Below are 20,712 nucleotides of genomic sequence, written 5' to 3' on the forward strand. Positions count from 1 at the left end.
CTGCAAACTAAATATATCCACTGAGAAACCTCCTCCACCCCATTTCAGGCTGTTCTTAAGGTCTAACACAGGAGTCAGCTAGATGAGGTCTCTGTCACGTTCTCTTTTTCCCCTCCAAACAATGCTTTAAAAATGTAAAAAACATCCTTAGCTCCCAGGCCTACAAAAATAGGCCAAGGGCCATTGCATTTTCAAGATGAAGTGTCCCTTACAGATAACTAGGGCAAAGCTCCCTTATTTAACAGATGGGGAACCTGAAACCTGAAGGCCAGTGAGAAAAGGCCGCTGGGCCATGATTATACCAGGATACTTGCTATTAAAATGACTAGAGCCAGGCGCAGTGGCTCATGCCTGTAATCCCAGCACTTTGGGAGGCCAAGGTGGGTGGACTGCTTGAGCCCAGGAATTCAAGAGCAGCCTAGGCAACATGGCAAAACCTCATCTCTACAAAAATTAACTGGGTGTGATGGCGTGAGCCTGCAGGAAGATCACCTGAGCCTCGGGAGTTTGAAGCTGCAATGAGCCGTGACTGTGCCACTGCACTCTAGCTTGGGCAACAGAGTGAGACCCTGTCAAATAAATAAATAAACATTAAATAAAATAAAATGACTTCAGGACTCATTGGCCCCTGTCTATCTATGCTTATTGTTAGGAAGATACCACTAAAGCCCAGGGAAAACTAGAAACCAAGACAGGCTGCTAAGCGGAAGACATGGCCTATTGTCTATTAGTGCAACAGCAGCTCCAAGAAAGAAGCTGGGGTGATGAAAATCACAGGACGTCCAGTGTGCCGGACGTCATGCTAGATAGTCAAGAGTTATTAATCCATAGAACTTCCCCTAGGCCTTGAAAAATTAGGAAGGCAGACATTAGGCAGGGAAAAACATTACATTTAAAGCAGTATCACAGGCAAAGCCAAGAGGGAATCACCATATCATATCACCTGCTGCACCTCAGTAGAGCAGAGGAGCTGCAGAGAAAACAGAGTAAGGGTGGAGTGAGTGAGCTCTGCACCAGGGTTCTCATCTCAGCTCCTGTATTTACTGGCATGTGACGGTACTGGCTTCGTGTTGTTGCTGTAACAAATAATGGCAGACACACAGATGTATTTTAAAGTTCTGGATGTCAAAAGTCCAAAATGAGTCTCACTAGGCTAAAATCAACCCTGGCCTGTTAGCAAGTCATGTTCCTTTGGGAGGCTCTGGGGGAGAATCCTTGACTTTTCCAGCTCCAAAGGTTACCCACATCCCTTGGTTTGTGGCCCTTTCCTCCTTCAAAGCCAGTGACAACTAGACTGTCCATCTCACATTACACTCTGCTATTTTGCCTCCAATTTTGATTCTTAAGAATCCTTCTGATTACACTGAGCCCACCCCAGTAACACAGGATAACCTCAGTGTCAGCTGATTAGCAATCTAATTCTATTTGCTACCTTAATTCCCCCTTGCCATGTATATAACCTATTCGCAGGTTCTACTGAGTAAGAAGCGGAGCTTTTTAAGGAGCCCTTATGAGCCCTGCCTACCACACTAACCCTGAGCCAGTTAGCAACCCCTCAGAGCTTCGGTTTCTCCATCTGTGAAACTGGAATAAACACTTCCTACTTCAAAGGGTGACAGTGAAGACTGTGTCATTCAGGTAAAGTGCCTGGCTCATGGAAGTGCTCAGTCAAGTATCAGCTTATCTGGTTCAACTGTATATAAAAGGTGGCCAAGGACAGACCAGAACTGGGCTTGTCTGCACGGAGCTGTTTGACTGTAAGTTTGTGACTTTATTATGTCCCTAAGATTATTTTCTAAGATTGTAATGCTTCTAGTTCTTTATCTAGGAGTCTTATCAACTTCCAAACATGAAAAAAACAAACTTGGAGAAACAGGATCAACACCCACACCAATACTCTAAAAGAGTCAATTTAAAAGGGTAGAAAATATCACTACATAATTAGAAAGTGAAGGTGCAATTTTTCAAATACCTGGGATCGAGGGATCAAAATCTCTCTAAATGAACACTAAATTTGGCTCTGAGCTTCCTGAAGCCAAGGCACAAGTGGACACACCTGTTGCTTTCCCCAGCCCCATCAACCTTCCACTCTGCATGCGGTTTCTTCCATACTTAGCTGCAGGCTAAGCCTCCCACCCCCCAGCACCCATCTCCACTGAGCCATCTTCCCGTCTCCACCTAAGGAAGGCTGTCACAGACCCATCACTAAATTCTCATTGTGAGCAACCCTACTTCTTGGCCACACTGGCTGGTGGCTCCTGCTGATGGCAGGAAATGAGATACATTCATCATTATAGCTATATCACATACCAGATCCTCAAATGGTTGTTGAATTATTTAATAAGAAATCGTACTTCTGATTCTAACCTCACGTGCTGAGAGGATCTTTTTTGGCCTTAGTTCTTATTTATAAGACTTAAGAAATAAGTCATTGTGGGGCACAGTGGCTCACCCCTTTAACCACAGCACTTCTGGAGGCTGAGGTGGCTGGACTGCTTGAACCCAGGAGTTCAAGATCAGCCAGGGTAACGTGGTGAAACTACATCTCTACAAAAAAAATAGAAAAATTTGGCCAGGAGTGGTGGACGCCTGTAATCCCGGCACTTTGGAAGGCTGAGGTGGTTGGATCACCTGAGGTCGGGAGTTCAAGACCAGCCTGACCAACATGGAGAAACCCCATTTCCACTTAAAACACACACACACACACACACACACACACAGAAATCAGTTGGGCATGGTGGTGCATGCCTGTAAATCCCAGCTACTTGGGAGGCAGGAGAATCGCTTGAACCCAGGAGGCGGAGGTTGCGGTGAGTCAAGATCGTGCCATTGCACTCCAGCCTGGGCAACAAGAGTGAAACTCTGTCTCAGGAAAAAAAAAAAAAAAAAAAATTGCCAGGTTGCCAGGCGTGGTGGTGCATGCCTGTAGTCCCAGCTCCTTGGGGGGCTGAGGTAGGAGGATCACCTGAGCCTGGGGAGGTTGAGGCTGCAGTGAGCCATGATTGTGCACTCCAGCCTGGGCACAGAGTGAGACTCTGTCTCAAAAAAAAAAAAAAAGAAAAGAAATCATAATGGAAATAAAAGCATCTCTCACAAAATATACAAGGATTCCTTTGCTAAAATAATGTCAACTGAATTAAACAGTCAGTTTTAGGTGTGGGGACATAAAGTATGGAATTTTTTTTCCTTTTTTTTGAGACAGAGTTTTGCTCTTGTTGCCTAGGCTGGAGTGCAATGGCATGATTTTGGCTCACTGCAACCTCCACCTCCCAGGTTCAAGAGATTCTCCTGTCTCAGCCTCCCAAGCAGCTAGGATTACAGTCATGTGCCACCATGCCTGCCTATTTTTGTATTTTTAGTAAACACCGGGTTTCTCCGTGTTGGTCAGACTGGTCTAAAACCCCTTACCTCAGGTGATCCATGCGCCTTGGCCTCCCAAAGTGCTGGGATTACAGGTATGAGCCACAGCGCCCGGCCCAAAGTATGGAATTTTTAATATGTTTATTTTAATCTATATTAGTCAGTACCCAGAAGGGTCTCAATGCAGGCAGATAGTTAGAAAAAGGTCTCCCCCATGAGTGAGTATAGTGACAACAAATGAAATTACCCAAGAAAAAAAAACGATCCTAGAACCCATGCCATTTGCCGAGAACTGTTAAACTCAATGTCTGGTCCAAAGACCCAAGAGTTAGGTCCAAAAACCTGAGAAAATAAAGCAATCTCCAAGCCATCCTTGCTTGTCAGTCCCTTGTTTTTTCAATGCCTTTTAAAATGTCCCATACTGAGCAAGAAAACCCTATCCTTCAGATTTTTTTTTTTTGAGACAAGGTCTCACTTTCGTCACCCAGGCCAGAAAGCAGTGGCATGATCTCAGCTCACTGCAGCCCTGACTTCCTAGGTTCAAACCATCCTCCCACCTCAGCCCCTAAGTAGCTGCAACTACAGGCTAATTTTTAGTATTTTTTGTAGAGACGGGGTTTCGCCACATTGCGAAAGGTTGGTCTCAAACTCCTGAGCTCAAGAGATCCACCTGCCTCAGTCTCGCAAAGTGCTAGGATTACAGGCGTGAGCCACCGTGCCCCGCCAAGATCTTTTGATGCTGTATAAAATCTCACCATCTGGCCGCGCTCGTTGGCTCACGCCTGTAACTCCAGCACTTTGGGAGGCCGAGGTGGGCGGATCACGAGGTCGGGGATCAAGACGATGCTGGCGAAAACGGTGAAACCCCGTCTCTACTAAAAAATACAAAACATTAGCCGGGCGTGGTGGCGGGCGCCTGTAGTCCCAGCTACTCGGGAAGCTGAGGCAGGAAAATGGCGTGAACCCGGGAGGCGGAGGTTGCAGTGAGCCGAGATCGCGCGGCTGCACTCCAGCCTGGGCGACAAAGCAAGACTCCGTCTCAAAAAAAAAAAAAATTTCCAATCTGACAGAACAATACTCCAGAAAAGCTTTCTTCGCTTGGAGGAGGGCACTTTTTATGCGTACCGACTCAGTTCTACAAGCAAATCTCGGCAGCATCAGACGCCACCTGGTGGAGTACAGGGACACTACGCTGGAATCAAAGTTCTTCCTCCATTTAATACCTTTCCTCTAAAACACTATTTCCCAAAGGGAGTTCCTTAGAAAACTAATGCTACTAATGCTACAAGGTTTCCTCATCAACTGAGTTTAGGAATTCCCAAAGGTGGTAGAAGGGAGTGGAAACAATATTTTGGTTAATAGTTTAGTGTGGCCGGGCGTGGTGGCTCACGCCTGTAATCCCAGCACTTTGGGAGGCCAAAGCGGGAGGATTGCCTGAGCTCAGGAGTTCCAGACCAGCCTGGGCAACACAGTGAAACCCCGTCTCTACTAAAATACACAAAAATCAGCCAGGCCTAGTGGCGTGTGCCTGTAGTCCCAGCTACTCGAGAAGCTGAGGCAGGAGAATTGCTTGAACCCGGGAGGCGGAGGTTGCAGTGAGCAGAGAACGGATGTCTCAAAAACAAAACAAAACAAAACAAAACAAAAAAATAGTTTAGTGTATTTCCAAGATGGTATTTAGGTACCATGTGAATTTCAATTTGATCTCTACAAAAAAAAATTGTTGTAACTTGCTGGTGTGTTGGTGCACACCTGTAGTTCTAGCTACTCAGAAGGCTGAGGCAGAATCTGATTGCTTGAGCCCATGAGTTCAAGGTTACCACTGCGTTCCAGCCTGGGCAACAAAGTGAGACCCTGTCACGGCAAAAAAAAAAAAAAAAAGAATGAACCAGGCAGGGAAATTCCTACACTATGGTCTATTGAGCCTGAAGGGCCAGGCACAAGAAGTGGAGAAGGTAGTGAGAGGGGATCCAAAGTGACATTTAAAATCCCGTAGCTAAAATCTTTCTCACGCGTCCTTTACCAGTCATACATTCACCAAGCACGGTGTGGAGCTGTAGGAGCAACAAAACAAAACCCTGCCATCAAGGTCCTCAGTAAATATTATCTGAAAAATTAGCTCCTATTCTGGTGGCAGAGAGATTCAGTCCATTGGACAGGGAGAAAACCATGCGTTACAAATAGAAGCAGGTAGGAGGTGCACGGGAAAGGGGAAGAGAAAGACTGGGCCTGCTGGTCAGTCAATGACATCATTTCTTGTGTGGATTTTTTCACTAGAATAGGTAAAATACTTATCTGAGGTGCTTTCAACCAGATGGCTTAGTTTCTAATTAAGGTATAAAGACTATTATTTTACTTGCACGCAAAGTATTTCTTTACTCGCTTTATTACTTTACTCACACACAAAGTATTTCATGATTTGACCTTATAAAATAAGGATTTATATACTTACCTCTACCCTCCCCAAATTTAAAGATAAACAAACACAAACACAGAAAGGTTAAATATTTTGTTCCAAGTTTACAGACCTCACCAGGAGCAGACAAAGGGTAAGGACCAGGCATTGCTGCCTCCCAGCCCACTGCTTTTCTCCCTAGACTGCACTGCAAGTCCTTTTGTAGATCAGATGAAAAATGGGGTCAAAATTTGCTGCAAATCTTCTCTTTTAAAAAAGCCACTGAATTATAGCAGAGTATGACAAAATGTTACCAGAACACATTTTTACAGCAAATAATGAAATAATCATCAGATTTTTAAAAATCAAGCAAGCAACTTCAGAATATGACCCCTCTACCAAATTTTCTTTTGGCAATAAAGTAGCCTCTCTGCCAAGATCAAATGTAAAAATGTTACAAGAGGAACAGGCTTTGCAGTCCTGGAGGAGTAAAGTACAAGAGAGCTGATTTCCTCCAGGCTTTTGAAACATATACAAAGATTGCCAGCCCACAATTAATCATCTAGCACTGTGAAATGATTAAACATTAATGAGAGATATGTAAGACCTACTATAAAAAATTAAAAGGAAGTTTTGAATAAATGAATAATCATGCTGTGCACCTAGAAAGGAAAGCTAAATGTTATGAACATGTCAATTATCTTCAAGTCAATTTATATATTTAACATAATTTCAACAAAATTCCAGCCAAAGGCACGGATGGACATAAAAGAATATTCCACAAAACACAAGAACTACAAGAAGTCCAGACTTGACCAAGTAATAACAATTTACAAAGTAAGAACTTAGATTATGTTTACTCAGACAAAAATAGGTATCCAGACCAAAAGAAATCACAGAAATAGACCCAAATCCATGGAAAAATATGTTCTGTAGTTAAAGCAGGCATCATCAAGATTAGAAAGAAAGGAAACATCATTTTATAAATGAGAGAGGGAAAAATCAACTGTGCTCTATATTTTAAGCCAAAGTAAAGCCAGGGAGCATAAAGTGCTAAATAATTTTTAAATTTAAAAAAGAAGAAAATAAACTAATATAGTCATCAGATTTTCAGGAAAAAAAAAAAAAAAGCAAGAAAAACTAACCAGAAGGCCAGGCGCAGTGGCTTATGCCTGTAATCCCAGCACTTTAGGAGGCCGAGGCAGGTGGATCACTTGAGGTCAGGAGTTTGAGACCAGCCTGGCCAACATGGCAAAAAGCTGTCTGTACTAACGGTACAAAAATTAGGCGGGCGTGGTAGTGGGCGCAGTAGTGGGCGCCTGTAGTCCTAGCTACTTAGGAGGCTGAGGCATGAGAATCCCTTGAACCTGGGCGGAGGTTGCAGTGAGCTGAGATCATGCCACTGCACTCCAGCCTGGGCAAAAGAGCGAGACTCCAAATGAAAAAAAAAAAAAAAAAAAAAAGAACCAGAGATTTAACTTTTTTTTAAAGAAAATACGAAAGCACTACATAAATAATAATAACAGAAGTAAAAAAGGCTAACACAGGCTGGGCGCAGTGGCTCACGCCTGTAATCCCAGCACTTTGGGAGGCCGAAGCGGGCGGATCATGAGGTCAGGAGTTCAAGAACAGCCTGGCCAACATGGTGAAACCCCGTCTCTACTAAAAATACAAAAAATAAGCTGGGCGTGGTGGCAGGCGCCTGTAATCCCAGCTACTCGGGAGGCTGAGGCAGGAGAATCACCTGAACCTCGGAGGCAGAGGTTGCAGTGAGCAGAGATTTCGCCACTGCACTCCAGCCTGAACGACAGAGAGAGACTCTGTCTCAAAAAAAAAAAAGAAAGGCTAATACAATAATGGACAGAAATATGCACAAGAGTTCCTGTCCACAACACCTTAACAGGTGGACCAAGGTAAACTGACAGATCAGCACTGAGGCCGAGCCCTGGAGAAAAAAGGAAACAGTTAAAACAACAAGAGAAGGCAGTTACTATTAGAGTGCTGAGGTGGTAAGTGAATTTCCTTTCTTTTAATGTGTAAAAATAGCAAATGTTTGACAAGTTGCGTTAAGTGGGGGGTAAAGGACCACAGAACCCGATCTTATAACCCAAGCCTCGCATGCTGGGGGCCAGGAATAAGCTCTCCTCACAGCACACCCTACAGCCCTGTGATGCTTCAGACATGGTACTCTCGCAAATTATTTATGCACTGATGACCAGCTAGCTTCAAAAAACAAATGTAGAACTTTGAAGTGGCCTGGCTATTTCTAAGACAATTTAAAAAAAAATCATTAAGGCAGGGGAAAGGCATGTGTATTGTATAAATGCTGGTAGCCAGCTGAACCAAGGCATCTGCTTTCTACTACAACAGTCTAAACACTTCTTCAGTTCAGTTCTCTATAACTAAATGTTATATGTGTCAAATGTTTCTCCAGCCTTGATCTGTACATACAATCTAAACATGACATTGACCTAGAATTTAATTTGAAACTGTATCTTTTTTTTTTAAATGTGCATGTGTTTCTCCTACCTCTTACTGCACATCTGCTGTTAATAATAAGGAAAACACCATTTGACTTCAGGGTAGAAGAAAGGGAGAAAAACCCCAGATGCCCAAGGCAAGATTTACTTTAGGGAATCCTTCATAGTGCACATATTACAGAAAATCATCATTTCCAATTGTGTGAATTTAGCCACAAAAAAATGGGGTGAAAAGGATTAATTAGAATTAATTAATTAATTAATCTCAGCTCCTGCAAACTTGCATATGCAACAGAATTTTACAAGCTCCAACCAGAATCACAGGATAGGGAAGAGATGTAGAGAAAGTAAATCAGACCACATTTATTATGAAAACAACTAGCACATAAACTTGTCAAAATTAGTGATTTGACCAAGGAGGTTCATTTTGAACCTTTGAGTAATTTTTAACCATTTATCCCTTTCAACCTTATTTTATATCTATTTTATTTATCACTATTTACCCTTCTTTTGCTGAAAGAAAGGAGAAAAAGGCTGCTGCCTCTTATTAGAAGGGTATTCCTAAAAGGAACACCTTTTTAGAAACCTCTGAATGAAAAAATAATTTAAGATGAGTAATGTATTTCTAATACGGCATAGCAGCACACAATATAAGCCAATCAAATAACAAAACATGCTTCTACGACCTTGAAATGGCCTCTTCAGCTCACAAACTTGAATGCTACCATCACTTTAGTGAATGACTCTAGGTTACCCTTTTATATAGTCTTCATTAAGGTCTGTCTTCTGTGAAGGGCTTTATTTAATTTTCCATGAAGAGCTTTGAATGGATGCTTCTTAAGCTTATTTAAGCTGGCAGTATTTTGTTTCCAAAGTTCAAACTTCCATTTGCTAAGTCTGCTTAGTCACTTGAAACTGTGCAGCTCAAAGTCTTTCAATTAGACAGACATACTTATATGACAGCTTTTCTCCCCCTATGTCTCCCAGACAAACAATGTGAATATAGTAGATTCTCTGTCCATAAAACCTTCAAGGTATATATTAAAATTGCCAGTCATATAATTGTTTCATATATACTGTTTTAATATTCCAAAAATAAAAATAATAAAAGAATAGTTACATATTTTTGGTTGATCTCCTGGGGGAAGGTAATAGGGTCATTAATGTGATCACTTGCTTGGCAAAGACTGACTGAGACCCTGCTTTGTGCCAGGCTATACAGAAAGAACACTAACATGAGGAACATGGTCCCTACCCTCAGAAATCTTACAGTCTAGGGAAAAAGACATTAAATAAATCATCTTGTAACCACATACATAAATGCAAACTGTGTTAAGTGCTACAAAAAAACAACAGGGTACCCAAGTTAGACTGGGGTAGTGGTTTCAGTTATTTAATTGTGGAAGCGATATTTGGGCTGGGCCCTGACAGGTGGAGAACTGAGCCCTAGGGGTGGAGGCACATTCCAGGAAGAAGGACTAGCATATGCAAAGGCCACAGTCTGAGGAAGGAGAAGCGAGTGGATACCAGTTATGTGTCCACTGGTCTGGTCCAGGTGTGGGTGAAGGGGCGCAGACTGGAGTGGTAACAAAGGGGATGGAGACAAGCGAGCAGATGAGAATGGATCTGACACAAGTGACAAGCTGTGGAGTCAGGACTGAGAGAGAGCATACAACAACATAAAACAATTGGGAGAATATGACCTTTCACTTAAAAACCAGGACACCAAACAATATACAATTCAACTAAGTCAAAGAAAAATACAGATGTGAGAAGCTGGCAGTAGCCTATGCTGTAATGTGACATGCGTTTTATACCTATAAAAATACTTCTCAGAAGAAATGTATTGCTAAATTACAACCTATCTGACAGATAAAATAACCACTAAAAATGCTGACCAAAACTTTTAACTATACACACAAAAAAAGATTATGATGTAATAATTTTTTTTTTTTTTTTTGAGACAGAGTCTCGCTCTGTCACCCAGGCTGGAGTGCAATGGCGTGATCTTGGCTCACTGCAACCTCCGCCTCCCGGGTTCAATCGATTCTCCTGCCTCAGCCTCCCAAGTAGCTGGGACTACAAGCACGTGCCACCATGTCTGGCTAAATTTTTGTATTTTTAGTAGAGACGGGGTTTCGTCATGTTGGCCAGACTGTTCTCGAACTCCTGACCTCAGGTGATCCACCCGCCTTGACCTTCCAAAGTGTTGGGATTACAGGCGTGAGCCACCGTGCCCGACATTCATATCATATATATATATATGGTTTTTTTTTTTGAGACAGGATCTCACTCTGTCCCCCAGGCTGGAGTGCAGTGGTGCAGTGGCGCGATCTCGGTTTACTGCAACCTCTGCCTCCTACGTTGAAGCAAGTCTCCCACCTCAGCCTCCCAACTAGCTGGGATTACAGGTGTGTACCACCACACGTGCCTAATTTTTGTATTCCTTGTAGAGACGGAGTTTTGCCATGTTGGCCAGGCTGGTCTCAAACTCCTGGACTCAAGCAATCCACCCGCCTAAGCCTCCCAAAGTGCTGGGACTACGGGCATGAGCCACTGCGCCCAGCCTCAAGCTATATTTTTAAAAAGCAAAACATTTGCGAGACTATATGTGAAACAGAACAGTATTTCCTGTTTGCTAATGATGGAACACTAAACAATGTAATTATTAAAAATACACTGACGGCTGGGCGCAGTGGCTCATGCCTGTAATCCCAGCACTTTGGGAACTGAGGCAGGTGGATCACCTGACGTCAGGAGTTCGAGACCAGCCTGGCCAACGTGGCAAAACCCCATATCTACTAAAAATACAAAAATTAGCCAGGCATGGCGGCAGGCACCTATGTAACTCCAGCTACTCAGGAGGCTGAGGCAGGAGAATCGCTTGAACCCGGGAGGCAGATTCCAGTGAGCCAAGATCACGCCACTGCACTCCAGCCTGGGCGGCAGGGCGAGACTCCATCTAAAAAAAAATAAAATAAATAAAAATACGTTGAGAAAAGGAATCAAGCAAATTAGAATATATATTCATAATAACACATGGAAAAGATGTAAGTAACAATTCTACTGAAGTAACAATGTCTTAATATGAATCATTTTTTACCTTTCTTTAATGAATGTAATGCTGAGGTGAAGAAGGTCAAATAACCAGGAGGCTGGGGTGAGCCACTGAACTCAAAGTACCCGAGTACTCCAGGCTGCAGGAAAAAGAGCAGAATTAGGTAACTGAGGCACTGTCAGCCACAGTGTAATGGAGGATATTTTAAAGCAAGACATATTACAATTTGACAATTAATGCATCTTGTTGCCTTTCATTTTTTCAAAAAGCCTAAGCACATGATAAAAATTTCAGGTTGGGGTTGAACATCCCCTCCATTTAAACAACAAACAGGGTAAGGGATGGAGTTGCAGTAGCTTTGACAGGATTGTACAGTGGTCATTCAGGGACATTCAAAGCTGAAATTTCCTTCTGTCCCCATGAGTAGGTCTTTCCACACCCTGTTTGTTGACAGTACAATTCTCCCAGGCTCAAAACTTTATCAGTAAGTTATGTCCTCAATCGCTTTTAACAACTCCAGACAAGCAATGGCAATAATTTTCTTTTAACCTTTCTTAAGTTTCTTCTTGAATCTCTCTCTCTCATTGACTCCAAACATACCTTCACACTTTGCTGGAAATCAGGGTTAATCTTCACCTGTAATCAAGCCCCTTCAACAGGAAACAAACCACAGAACCCCCGCCAAAACCCAGCATTCCACAGTGGCAACTCTCCTTTCCCTCAGATCTGCAGAGGACCCGCCTCTGGCCCTCTGGCTCCTCCACCCTACACATTCATTTCCACCTGCTCATTCCACTTCTCTAAGCTGGGCGTAGAATGCCCCTTCATTCTGCCAAACCAATTAACTGTCCCCTACCAGATATGTTCTGCCTTCCTGTTTACAATCACTTCTTCCTTCTTGGAAGGCCCTGTGGCACTCATTCAGTCAGGTTTTATTCTGTAATAATCGTATCTGTCTTAAAAGTCAAATTTTGAGATCCCTGAGGAAAGAGTGCTGGACTTGGAGTCAGAAGACCTAAGCTCAAGTCTGAGATCTAGTGGCTGAATGAACAGCCTCGGGAGAACCCTTCAATATGAAACCTCAGTTGCCTGATGTGGAAATAGGAACAATTCTTCACAGGGTTAGGCAAAGAGCAAGCCTGATGAACCGTAAAGCACTAGGCAAATGAAAAGAATCCTTTTGAGCCCAAAAGCACTTGGCACTACACTCTATATTAGTAAGTCATTGTGGAAATGAACTTGATCATTGAAACAAAATTGCATCCAAAATTTGGTGGAAATTTGATCTGTTGGTAAAGTTTAAAATCAATATGTTATAAAAAAGAGGAAACTTTTGATCTGTAGTAGAATATACTATCTTTCCAATCTAAACCACTTGCTTGTTGTAAGATTCAACTGTAAATGAATCAATTGGTTTTCATTCTGATAGAAACTTAACATCTAGGCTGGGTGCAGTAGCTCACACTTGTAATCGCAGCACTTTGGGAGACCTAAGAGGGAGGATCATTTGAGGTCAGGAGTTCAAGACCAGCCTGGTCAACATGGTAAAACTCTGTCTCTATTAAAAAATACAAAAATTAGCCAGGTGTGGTGGTACATGCCTGTAGTCCCAAATACTCGGAAAGCTGAGGCAAGAGAATCCCTTGAACCCAGGGGGTGGAGGCTGCAGTGAGCTGAGATCATGCCCCTGCACTCCAGCAGGTGGGGGAGAGAGCAAGAGTCCATCTCAAAAAAAAAGAAAAAAAAGAAAAAAAAAAAGAAACAGATTCTCACTCTGTTGCCCTGGCTCACGCCTGTAATCCCAGCACTTTGGGAGGCTGAGGCAGGTGGATCACTTGAGGTCGGGAGTTCAAGACCAGCCTGGCCGATATGGTGGAACCCTGTCTCTACTGAAAATAAAAAAATTAGCCAGCCATGGTGGTGCACGCCTGTAATTCCAGCTACTCAGGAGGCTGAGGCACAAGAATTGCTTGAACCAGGGAGGTGGAGGTTGCAGTGAGCCAAGATCGTGCCACTGCATTCCAGCCTGGGCAAAAGGGCAAGACTCCATCTTAAAACAAAAAACAAACAAAAAAAAAACCCACAAAACTATGAACTAACAGAAACAGTACCTATGTGCACAACATTCAGAGTAGAATTTTACAAACAATATGACAATGTTGGGTACCAGCATTCTACAATTCTGTCAAAATGCTCATGTTTTCTGTCATCTGGCAATTTTACTTAACTCTCTTCTTCCCCCTAAAAGATTCCCGAGCCTTTCCCCATCCCATCTAAATTTAAAACAATTTTGTTACCAAGCTGTTAGGAATAAATGAATGAATGTATGCTAAATAAGTGTTCTTAAATGGATACAGAAATTCATGGAAAGATTCTTAAAATATTTTGCCTGCAGATAGAAGAGTTTGAAATAATAATACTGTTAGCATTTGGTGAGTAAATTATAAAGTACAAGTCAAATGAATCTGTCAAGTGCTTTAAAAAATAAAAAAGAGGCCAGCAGCACTCACGCCTGTAATCCCCTCAGATCACTTGAGGCCAGGAGTTCAAGATCACCCTTGGCCAGCCTGGTGAAATCCCATCTCTACTAAAAACACAAAAATTAGCCAGGCGTGATGGTGGGCACCTGTAGTTGCAGCTACTTGGGAGGCTGAGGCAGGAGAATTGCTTGAACCTGGGAGGTGGAGGCTACAGTGAGCAGAGATCGCACCACTGCACTCCACCCTGGGCAAGAGAGGGAGACTCTGTCTCAAAAAAACAATCAAACAAACAAATAAATAAGAAAGTAAGCACTACTGATGTAGAAGCTACCAATACCTAACACAAATGATGTCCAAACAATACTGAAATTAGAGGAGCCAGAAAATTAGTCACTGAAAATTAAATGACTATTGCTCAGTCCTATTCCCTTTCCAATCAACTTAATGTCCACTGAAATAAAAATGACACCGGCCAGGTGTGGTGGCTTATGTCTATAATCCCAGGACTTTTGGGGGCTGAGATGGGAGGATCACCTGACCTCAGGAGTTCCAAACTAGCCTGGGCAACATGGCAAGACCTCATCTCTATAAAATAAAAATAAAAATGACACTGGTTCTGTTAGTATACGTTGTCCACAGTAATCGACTTCATTTTCCTCTCTCTATTTAAATTGGCAGGAAGAACATTCAAGGAAGAGGGATTCCACAACTGGAGTAACTGAAGTAAGTAGAATTTCTTTTTCTCTTTTTTGGAGACAGAGTCTTTCTCTGTCGCCAAGGCTGGCGTGCAGTGGCGTGATCTCCGCTCACTGCAACCTCTGACTCACAGGTTAAAGCAATTCTCCTGCCTCAGCCTCCCGAGTAGCTGGGATTACAGGCGCCCGCCACCACATCCGGCTAATTTTTTGTATTTTTAGTAGAGACGAGGTTTCACCATGTTGGCCAGGCTGGTCTTAAACTCCTGACCTCATGATCTGCCCGCCTCGGCCTCCCAAAGTACTGGGATTACAGGTGTGAGCCACGGGGCCCAGTCAAATTTCTTAACATGGTTTGCAAGAAAATTATATAGAGCTCTTAATCTCCCTTTATGGGATCTCCTGGCAAGTTCATTTCAGTTTTTAGCTACATTCATTATTTACAAGGGAAGTATCATTGTAGTGCTTACCTGGGTAGAAAATTATAGACCATACCCTGCCTGAATATTGTGACTATCATACACAAAATAATCCCAGTTCTGCAGAATAAATGTGAATGACCCAATTAATAACAGGAAATGGCAAAACTCTGCTGCTTAAGAGCCATGGCATCATCCTTCATCCATATTTATTCTTTTAAGTATTCATTTAGAAAAAAAAAAAAGCTAACAGCCAAATTAAGGAGCCAACATCGTCAAAATGTTCTACCATAAAAGAAAAAAGTTTCAAAAAATGACATTAAATAAATATTTGAAGTTGTAACCCCTGGGTAGATACTGAAGTTTCAATTCAGGAACCTTAAATATTTCTTTGAGGAAGGAACATGATAGACAAGAATTTGGGGAGCCACAAGGCTGGGCTGTCGTCCAGTCTCCATGTAGGTAAATCACAGCCTCCCTGTACCTTAGCTTCTTAATCTGTTGGAAGGATCCACAGTTTCCATCTACCTCACCCAGCTGTTTGGAACATTTAGAAATAAGCACTTGAAAACTGAAGAGCACTTCACCATGCATAGTTTATGCATTACTTCTTTGCTAATAACAACTGAAGTATTTCAGGGTTTACAAAGTTAAGAATTTTTAGTACTCACCCTTTAATGGCTTTCTGTGATGTTTAAGTAACTTAAAGGCAAAACTGTTGTCCTAGAAATTGTTTCTGGTCTCAGAGTCTTGTCTTTGTTTTGTTTTGAGATGGAGTCTCACTCTGTTGCCCAGGATGGAGTGCAGTGGTGCCATCATAGCTCACTGTAACGCCAAACTCCTGGACTCAAGCAATCCTTCAGCCTCAGCCTCCCAAGTAGAGCTGGGACTACAGGCATGTGCCACCATGCTTGGCTAATTTTTAACATTTTGTTATAGACACAGGGTCTAATTTTGTTGCCCAGGCTGGTCTTGAATTCCTGGCTTCCAGCAATCCTCCACCTTGGCCTCCCAAGTGCTGGGGTTGCAGGCATGAAGCACCTCGCCAGGCCTCTTAGAGTCATAGTTTACAAACATAAAACCATGGTTAATGATTAGCGCAATGTGATATTGGTAGGTCTGAGATATCTAAGCCAAATAAAATATTTTCCATTGGTTAAAAACTTCCACTCTTCGGCCGTGTGCGGTGCCTCACGCCTGCAATCCCAGCACTTTGGGAGGCCGAGGCAGGCAGATCACGAGGTCAAGAGATAGAGACCATCCTAGCTAACAAGGTGAAACTCCATCTCTACTAAAAATACAAAAATTAACCGGGCATGGTGGCACATGCCTGAGTCCCAGCTACTCAGGAGGCTGAGGCAGGAGAATCACTTGAACCTGGCAGGTGGAGGCTGCAGTGAGCCAAGATCACGCCGCTGCACTCCAGCCTGGACAACAGAGCGAGACTCCACCTCAAAAAAAAAAAAAAAAAAAAAATTTCCACTCTAAGCAATTCAGTATCAAATCATCTGAATAGGCCTTTGAAAGGATTCAACTATAGGACTTCTAAAAATTAAAACCAAGATACAATTAGTACATTTCTTTTTCTAACAATAGAATAAGCATACATGAATAGAGTTCCATATACATATAATAAAATTTTACGTCAGCGGGGCACAGTGGCTCACACCTGTAATCCTAGCATTTTGGGAGGCTAAGGTGGGCTGATCACTTGAGGCTAGGAGTTCAAGACCAGCCTGGCCAAATGGTGAAACCCCATCTCTACTAAAAATACAAAAACAGCCAGGCGTGGAGGCACATGCCTGTAATCCCAGCTACTGAGGAGGCTGAGGCACGAGAATCACCTGAACCCAGGAGGTGGAGGTTGCGGTGAGACGAGATTGCGCCACTGCACTCCAGCCTGGGAGACAGAGCGAGACTCTGTCTCAAAAACAAGTTTATGTCAATAGAGAATATTATGTATTTCAGGACATCATCACTTCCCAAGTAATGAATGCTAACTATATAATTTTATAATGGTCCAAAATGCTCACAAATATCTAGATTAGAGACAAATTTATAATTAATCAATTTTTTTTCTTTTTTTTTCCTTCCTTAAAATCCAGATCCTACGCAAGAAATTTTTTTTTAAAACAAGGAGGAAATTATCACACATACTCCTACAAGATGTTACAAACATATCTAACAGACACTAAGTCAAGCAAAAAAAAACCAATCCTTCATTATGTCAAACTTCAGAAGTGCCATGAAAACATTAATTATTTTGACCCAATTTTGATATACTTAAATTTAAACACACTTGATACTGAAATCCATATTGATAAAAAATATAAACTGAGATAAGGCTCTTGACCAAAACAAGTATCTTTCATAGTAAGATGTCTTTAAATTAGCAAGTTCCTTCACATATTTAAACTGTATAGGGTTTTTTTGTTTGTGTTTTTTGGAAAAAGTGAGTAGTTTGAGTAAAAAGTTGAGTATCAGAGACAGCTCTACTGATGACACTCTAACTCACCCCTAGCTATAATTTCCACCCGCCCCCCCCACCCCACCATAACCTTCCACCATTCTCTAGTCAAGGCACTGTTTAATTTTCATCTTCTCTCTACTGCCACCATTATAAGCAGATAAACTTTTAACTATTAAATGAATGCCTTTGAGAGCCCCATGATAAAAGACATGTTTTCTTCCTCTTAAGGCCTTAATTGGGAAAACTCAATTCTTCAGAGCAGTAGTTCTTAATGGGGGAATTTTGCCCCCTGAGGGGTATTTGGCAAGGTCTGCAGATATTTTTGGTTGTCACAAATGAGGGGAGAAAAGGGTGCTACCAACATCTAGTGGGTGGAGGCCAGGGATATTGCTAAATATCCTACAAACCACAGGACAGCCCCCCAAAACACAGAATTATCTGACCTCCAACGTCAACTGCGCCAAGGTTGAGAAACCCTAACTTAGCAGAATATTCAAAAGCTTACTGTGTTCTACTCCAGGGACTCCAAAAATTCCTTAACTTTCCTAATTATTCAACCATCAAAACCATGACAGTGGTTTCATTTCTGGATCTAGAATTCTGTCTCTATCTTATAGGCAGTGTGTGTGAAACTGATACATTTTCTAGGCTGTGCTATTTGGTATATTTTGCAAGACAAATGGTTTCACAAGTGTCACGATGGGCTTGACTAGTGAGTTGTTTCACAATTAATAAAGTACTATCTATCTCTTGCCAATGAGACAATCTCATCTCAGTGACAAGCCCAGCAAAAGATGATACTAACCCGATAAAAGCCACAGCTTTTGGGAGGAAGTCATTTTAAAGGCTGACAGAAGTGATCTAGGGACCCCATCTTGGTAGCACTCTTGTGGTTCCCATTTTAAAGGCAGTCCAGTTTAATCACTGTTGTACATCACTCTAAGTGGGCTGCCAAAAAACTTAATGTAATGTTTTAAATGTCATCAGCAGTAATGTCGTCAGTAGATTAGTGAGTCTAACATGAACTCCACACCAATACTTGGAGGATAGTCTTTTAAAGTACTGCTGGGCTGGGCATGATGGCTCACACCTGTAATCCCAGCACTTTGGGAGGCTGAGGCAGAACGATCGCTTGAGCCGAGTTCATGCCACCACACTCCAGCCTGGGTGACAGAGTGAAACCCTATCTCAAAAAAATAAAATAATCCAGCCTGGCCAACATGGTGAAACCCCATCTCTACTGAAAATACAAAAAATTAGCCAGGTATGATGGTGCATGCCTGTAATCCCAGCTACTTAGGAGGCTGAGGCAGAAGAATCACTTGAACCTGAGAGATGGAGATTGCAGCGAGCCAAGATCATGCCACTGCACTCCAGCCTGGGTAACAGAGTGAGACCATCTCTAAATCAATCAATCAATCAATCAATCAATCAATGGAGTACTGCTAAAAGCAGGTCTGTCTGACTCCTGATTCTTCACCATTTTGCTGTGCCATCCCGAGTGGCTCTGGCTGTAACCCACTGAAGAACCATGTCAAAACCCACTTACCACAACTTTACTGTTAGAAGGAATCTCAAGGATACCCTGGCCCAGGCCCCTGATGCCCAGGAAGTGAGTAACCCGCCCCAAATCACAAACCCAGTGAGTGTGCCAAAGGGATCAGGCCCCAGTACCCTGCCTCTTAATATAGCCCTCACCCACCAGCCTGCCCAGGGAAAATGAGAGGCAGGCCTCTGAGGTGCACAGACATCCATCTGCTATCTATGTAATTAAGGAATATTTACTCTGATGCATAGCTAAGAACTAAAAGCAGAATAACTAGATATACTGCTGCTTGGGGAATCTCTGCTAATAGTTAACACATATGTAGTTTCCAACATGACTGAATAAAGCTATACTGATGTTCTGGTGAAAAAATGTGTATCCAATCTATACAGAATATAAATAGTGCGAACAGTAAAATTCAACTAGCCACAATTCTAAACTGTCAGGAAGGTCTGGATATACATGGTTTTTTAATCTCTGTCAGGTATTTATGGTCTTGATTTTGTTGTACCTAAGTATCATTTTACTTGTACTCAAGTATGATTTTACACTTGCTCCAGTGAATTTTTTGCAGAACTACTTTTATAATTTTTTGAGGCTACATCTTTCAATAATCCCAATACTGGCCTCACAATAAGCCATTCTTAACATGCATTAAAGATCCTACAGGGCTGGGCGTGGCGTCCCACACCTGCAATCCCAGCACTGTGAGGGGAGGCCAACATGGGAAGATCACTTGAGGCCCAGAGTTCAAGACCAGCCTGGTCAACATGGTGAAACCCTCTTTAGTGAAAAATACAAAAATTAGCTGGGCGTGGTGGCACTGCCTGTTATTGCAACTACTTGGGTGGCTGAGGCACAAGAAGCACTTGAACCCAGGAAGTGGAGTTTGCAGTGAGCTGAGATTGCACTCCAGCCTGGGTGTCAGAGCAAGACTCTGTCTCAAAAAAGAAAATACCATAAAAATAATTTACCAGGGGTTGAAGTTGGCAGTGGGGAAGCAGGAAAGAAGCTACATCAGGAAAGTTAGAAAACTTTCTGCAATTAAGACCTTCAAATAGTTATATACTTCATAATATGGAAGGGAACATATTTCCAGTTTTCAAAAAAACCAAACTACAACTGACAAGAGAAACCAGGTATCTCATAGTACAATGCTATGAGAAGTGTCAAGTAATATTCTTAGAAATTTGCAGTTGCACATAAATTGTAAGTTAATTCTCATCTACTCTAAGTTAACTGTAAGGCAAGATGAAAATCTGTTGAAAATTCCCTAACGAAAAACAAAGACTTTGCTAGTACTCTATTCTCTTAAAACTCTCTTGGACAAACCATCCTTATAATCAGTATCTCAAAAAGCATTTAACTGGGGCTGATCTATCACATGACCTTTTACTTGCTGCAATTCAGGAGGTATTTTTTTAAACCCCTTTAAAACAAACAATCCAATACAACCCCGTGAAAGGCCTTGAGTATGGAGGAGGAGATATGAAAGACAAGTACCTCGTAGTTTGAGAGAAAATCTAGTAATTCTGATTGAGATGGGATGTAGAGAAGTGGTTTCATCACCCGGCGGACAAACTTCTCAATGTAAACAGCACTCATGGGGCCTTTGTATTCGATTGGTCCAAAACTAGTACCAAAAAATAAAAATAAAAATAAAAATAATAAAAATAATACACCATGCATTAAGCCTGTAATGTATAACTAAAATCATCACCACCACAAAATGAAAGTGTCTTGCTTTGGGATCCAACCAAGTCACAGATCAGTAGCCTGCTTTGCTCAGGAGGTGACCAGAGAATTAAG

General features: G+C 42.2%; 1 protein-coding gene across 12 annotated transcripts in view, besides 1 other annotated feature; it reads right to left on the reverse strand.

The window, feature by feature from the left end:
- The window catches only part of TXNDC11 (thioredoxin domain containing 11), a 63,775-nt gene that overhangs the window by 31,156 nt on the left and 11,907 nt on the right, over nucleotides 1–20,712 (reverse strand). For 5 of the 12 annotated variants that reach the window (NR_136672.2, NR_136671.2, NM_001324024.2 and 2 more), the window contains exons 4-5: nucleotides 20,407–20,536; nucleotides 11,339–11,432 (exon numbers count right to left, since the gene is read on the reverse strand). Coding sequence is in view for 5 of the 12 variants with exons in the window: in NM_015914.7 (NP_056998.4) it covers nucleotides 11,339–11,432; nucleotides 20,407–20,536 (224 nt within the window). In the remaining 7 variants the exon portion in view is untranslated. Of the gene's footprint in view, nucleotides 1–4,115; nucleotides 4,236–11,338; nucleotides 11,433–15,558; nucleotides 15,696–20,406; nucleotides 20,537–20,712 lie in introns of those variants that run through there. The other 7 variants (NR_136674.2, NR_136673.2, NM_001324025.2 and 4 more) reach the window with 4 other exon arrangements.
- Nucleotides 18,291–18,350: an enhancer, noted in NCBI's record as "active region_10456". NCBI's record gives its function as "activates an Ori minimal core promoter by ATAC-STARR-seq in GM12878 lymphoblastoid cells {active_cell/tissue: GM12878}" and the evidence as "EXISTENCE:reporter gene assay evidence [ECO:0000049][PMID:35858748]".

Source organism: Homo sapiens, chromosome 16 (genome assembly GCF_000001405.40).
Source record: "Homo sapiens chromosome 16, GRCh38.p14 Primary Assembly".
Classification (NCBI taxonomy): Eukaryota; Metazoa; Chordata; class Mammalia; order Primates; family Hominidae; genus Homo; species Homo sapiens.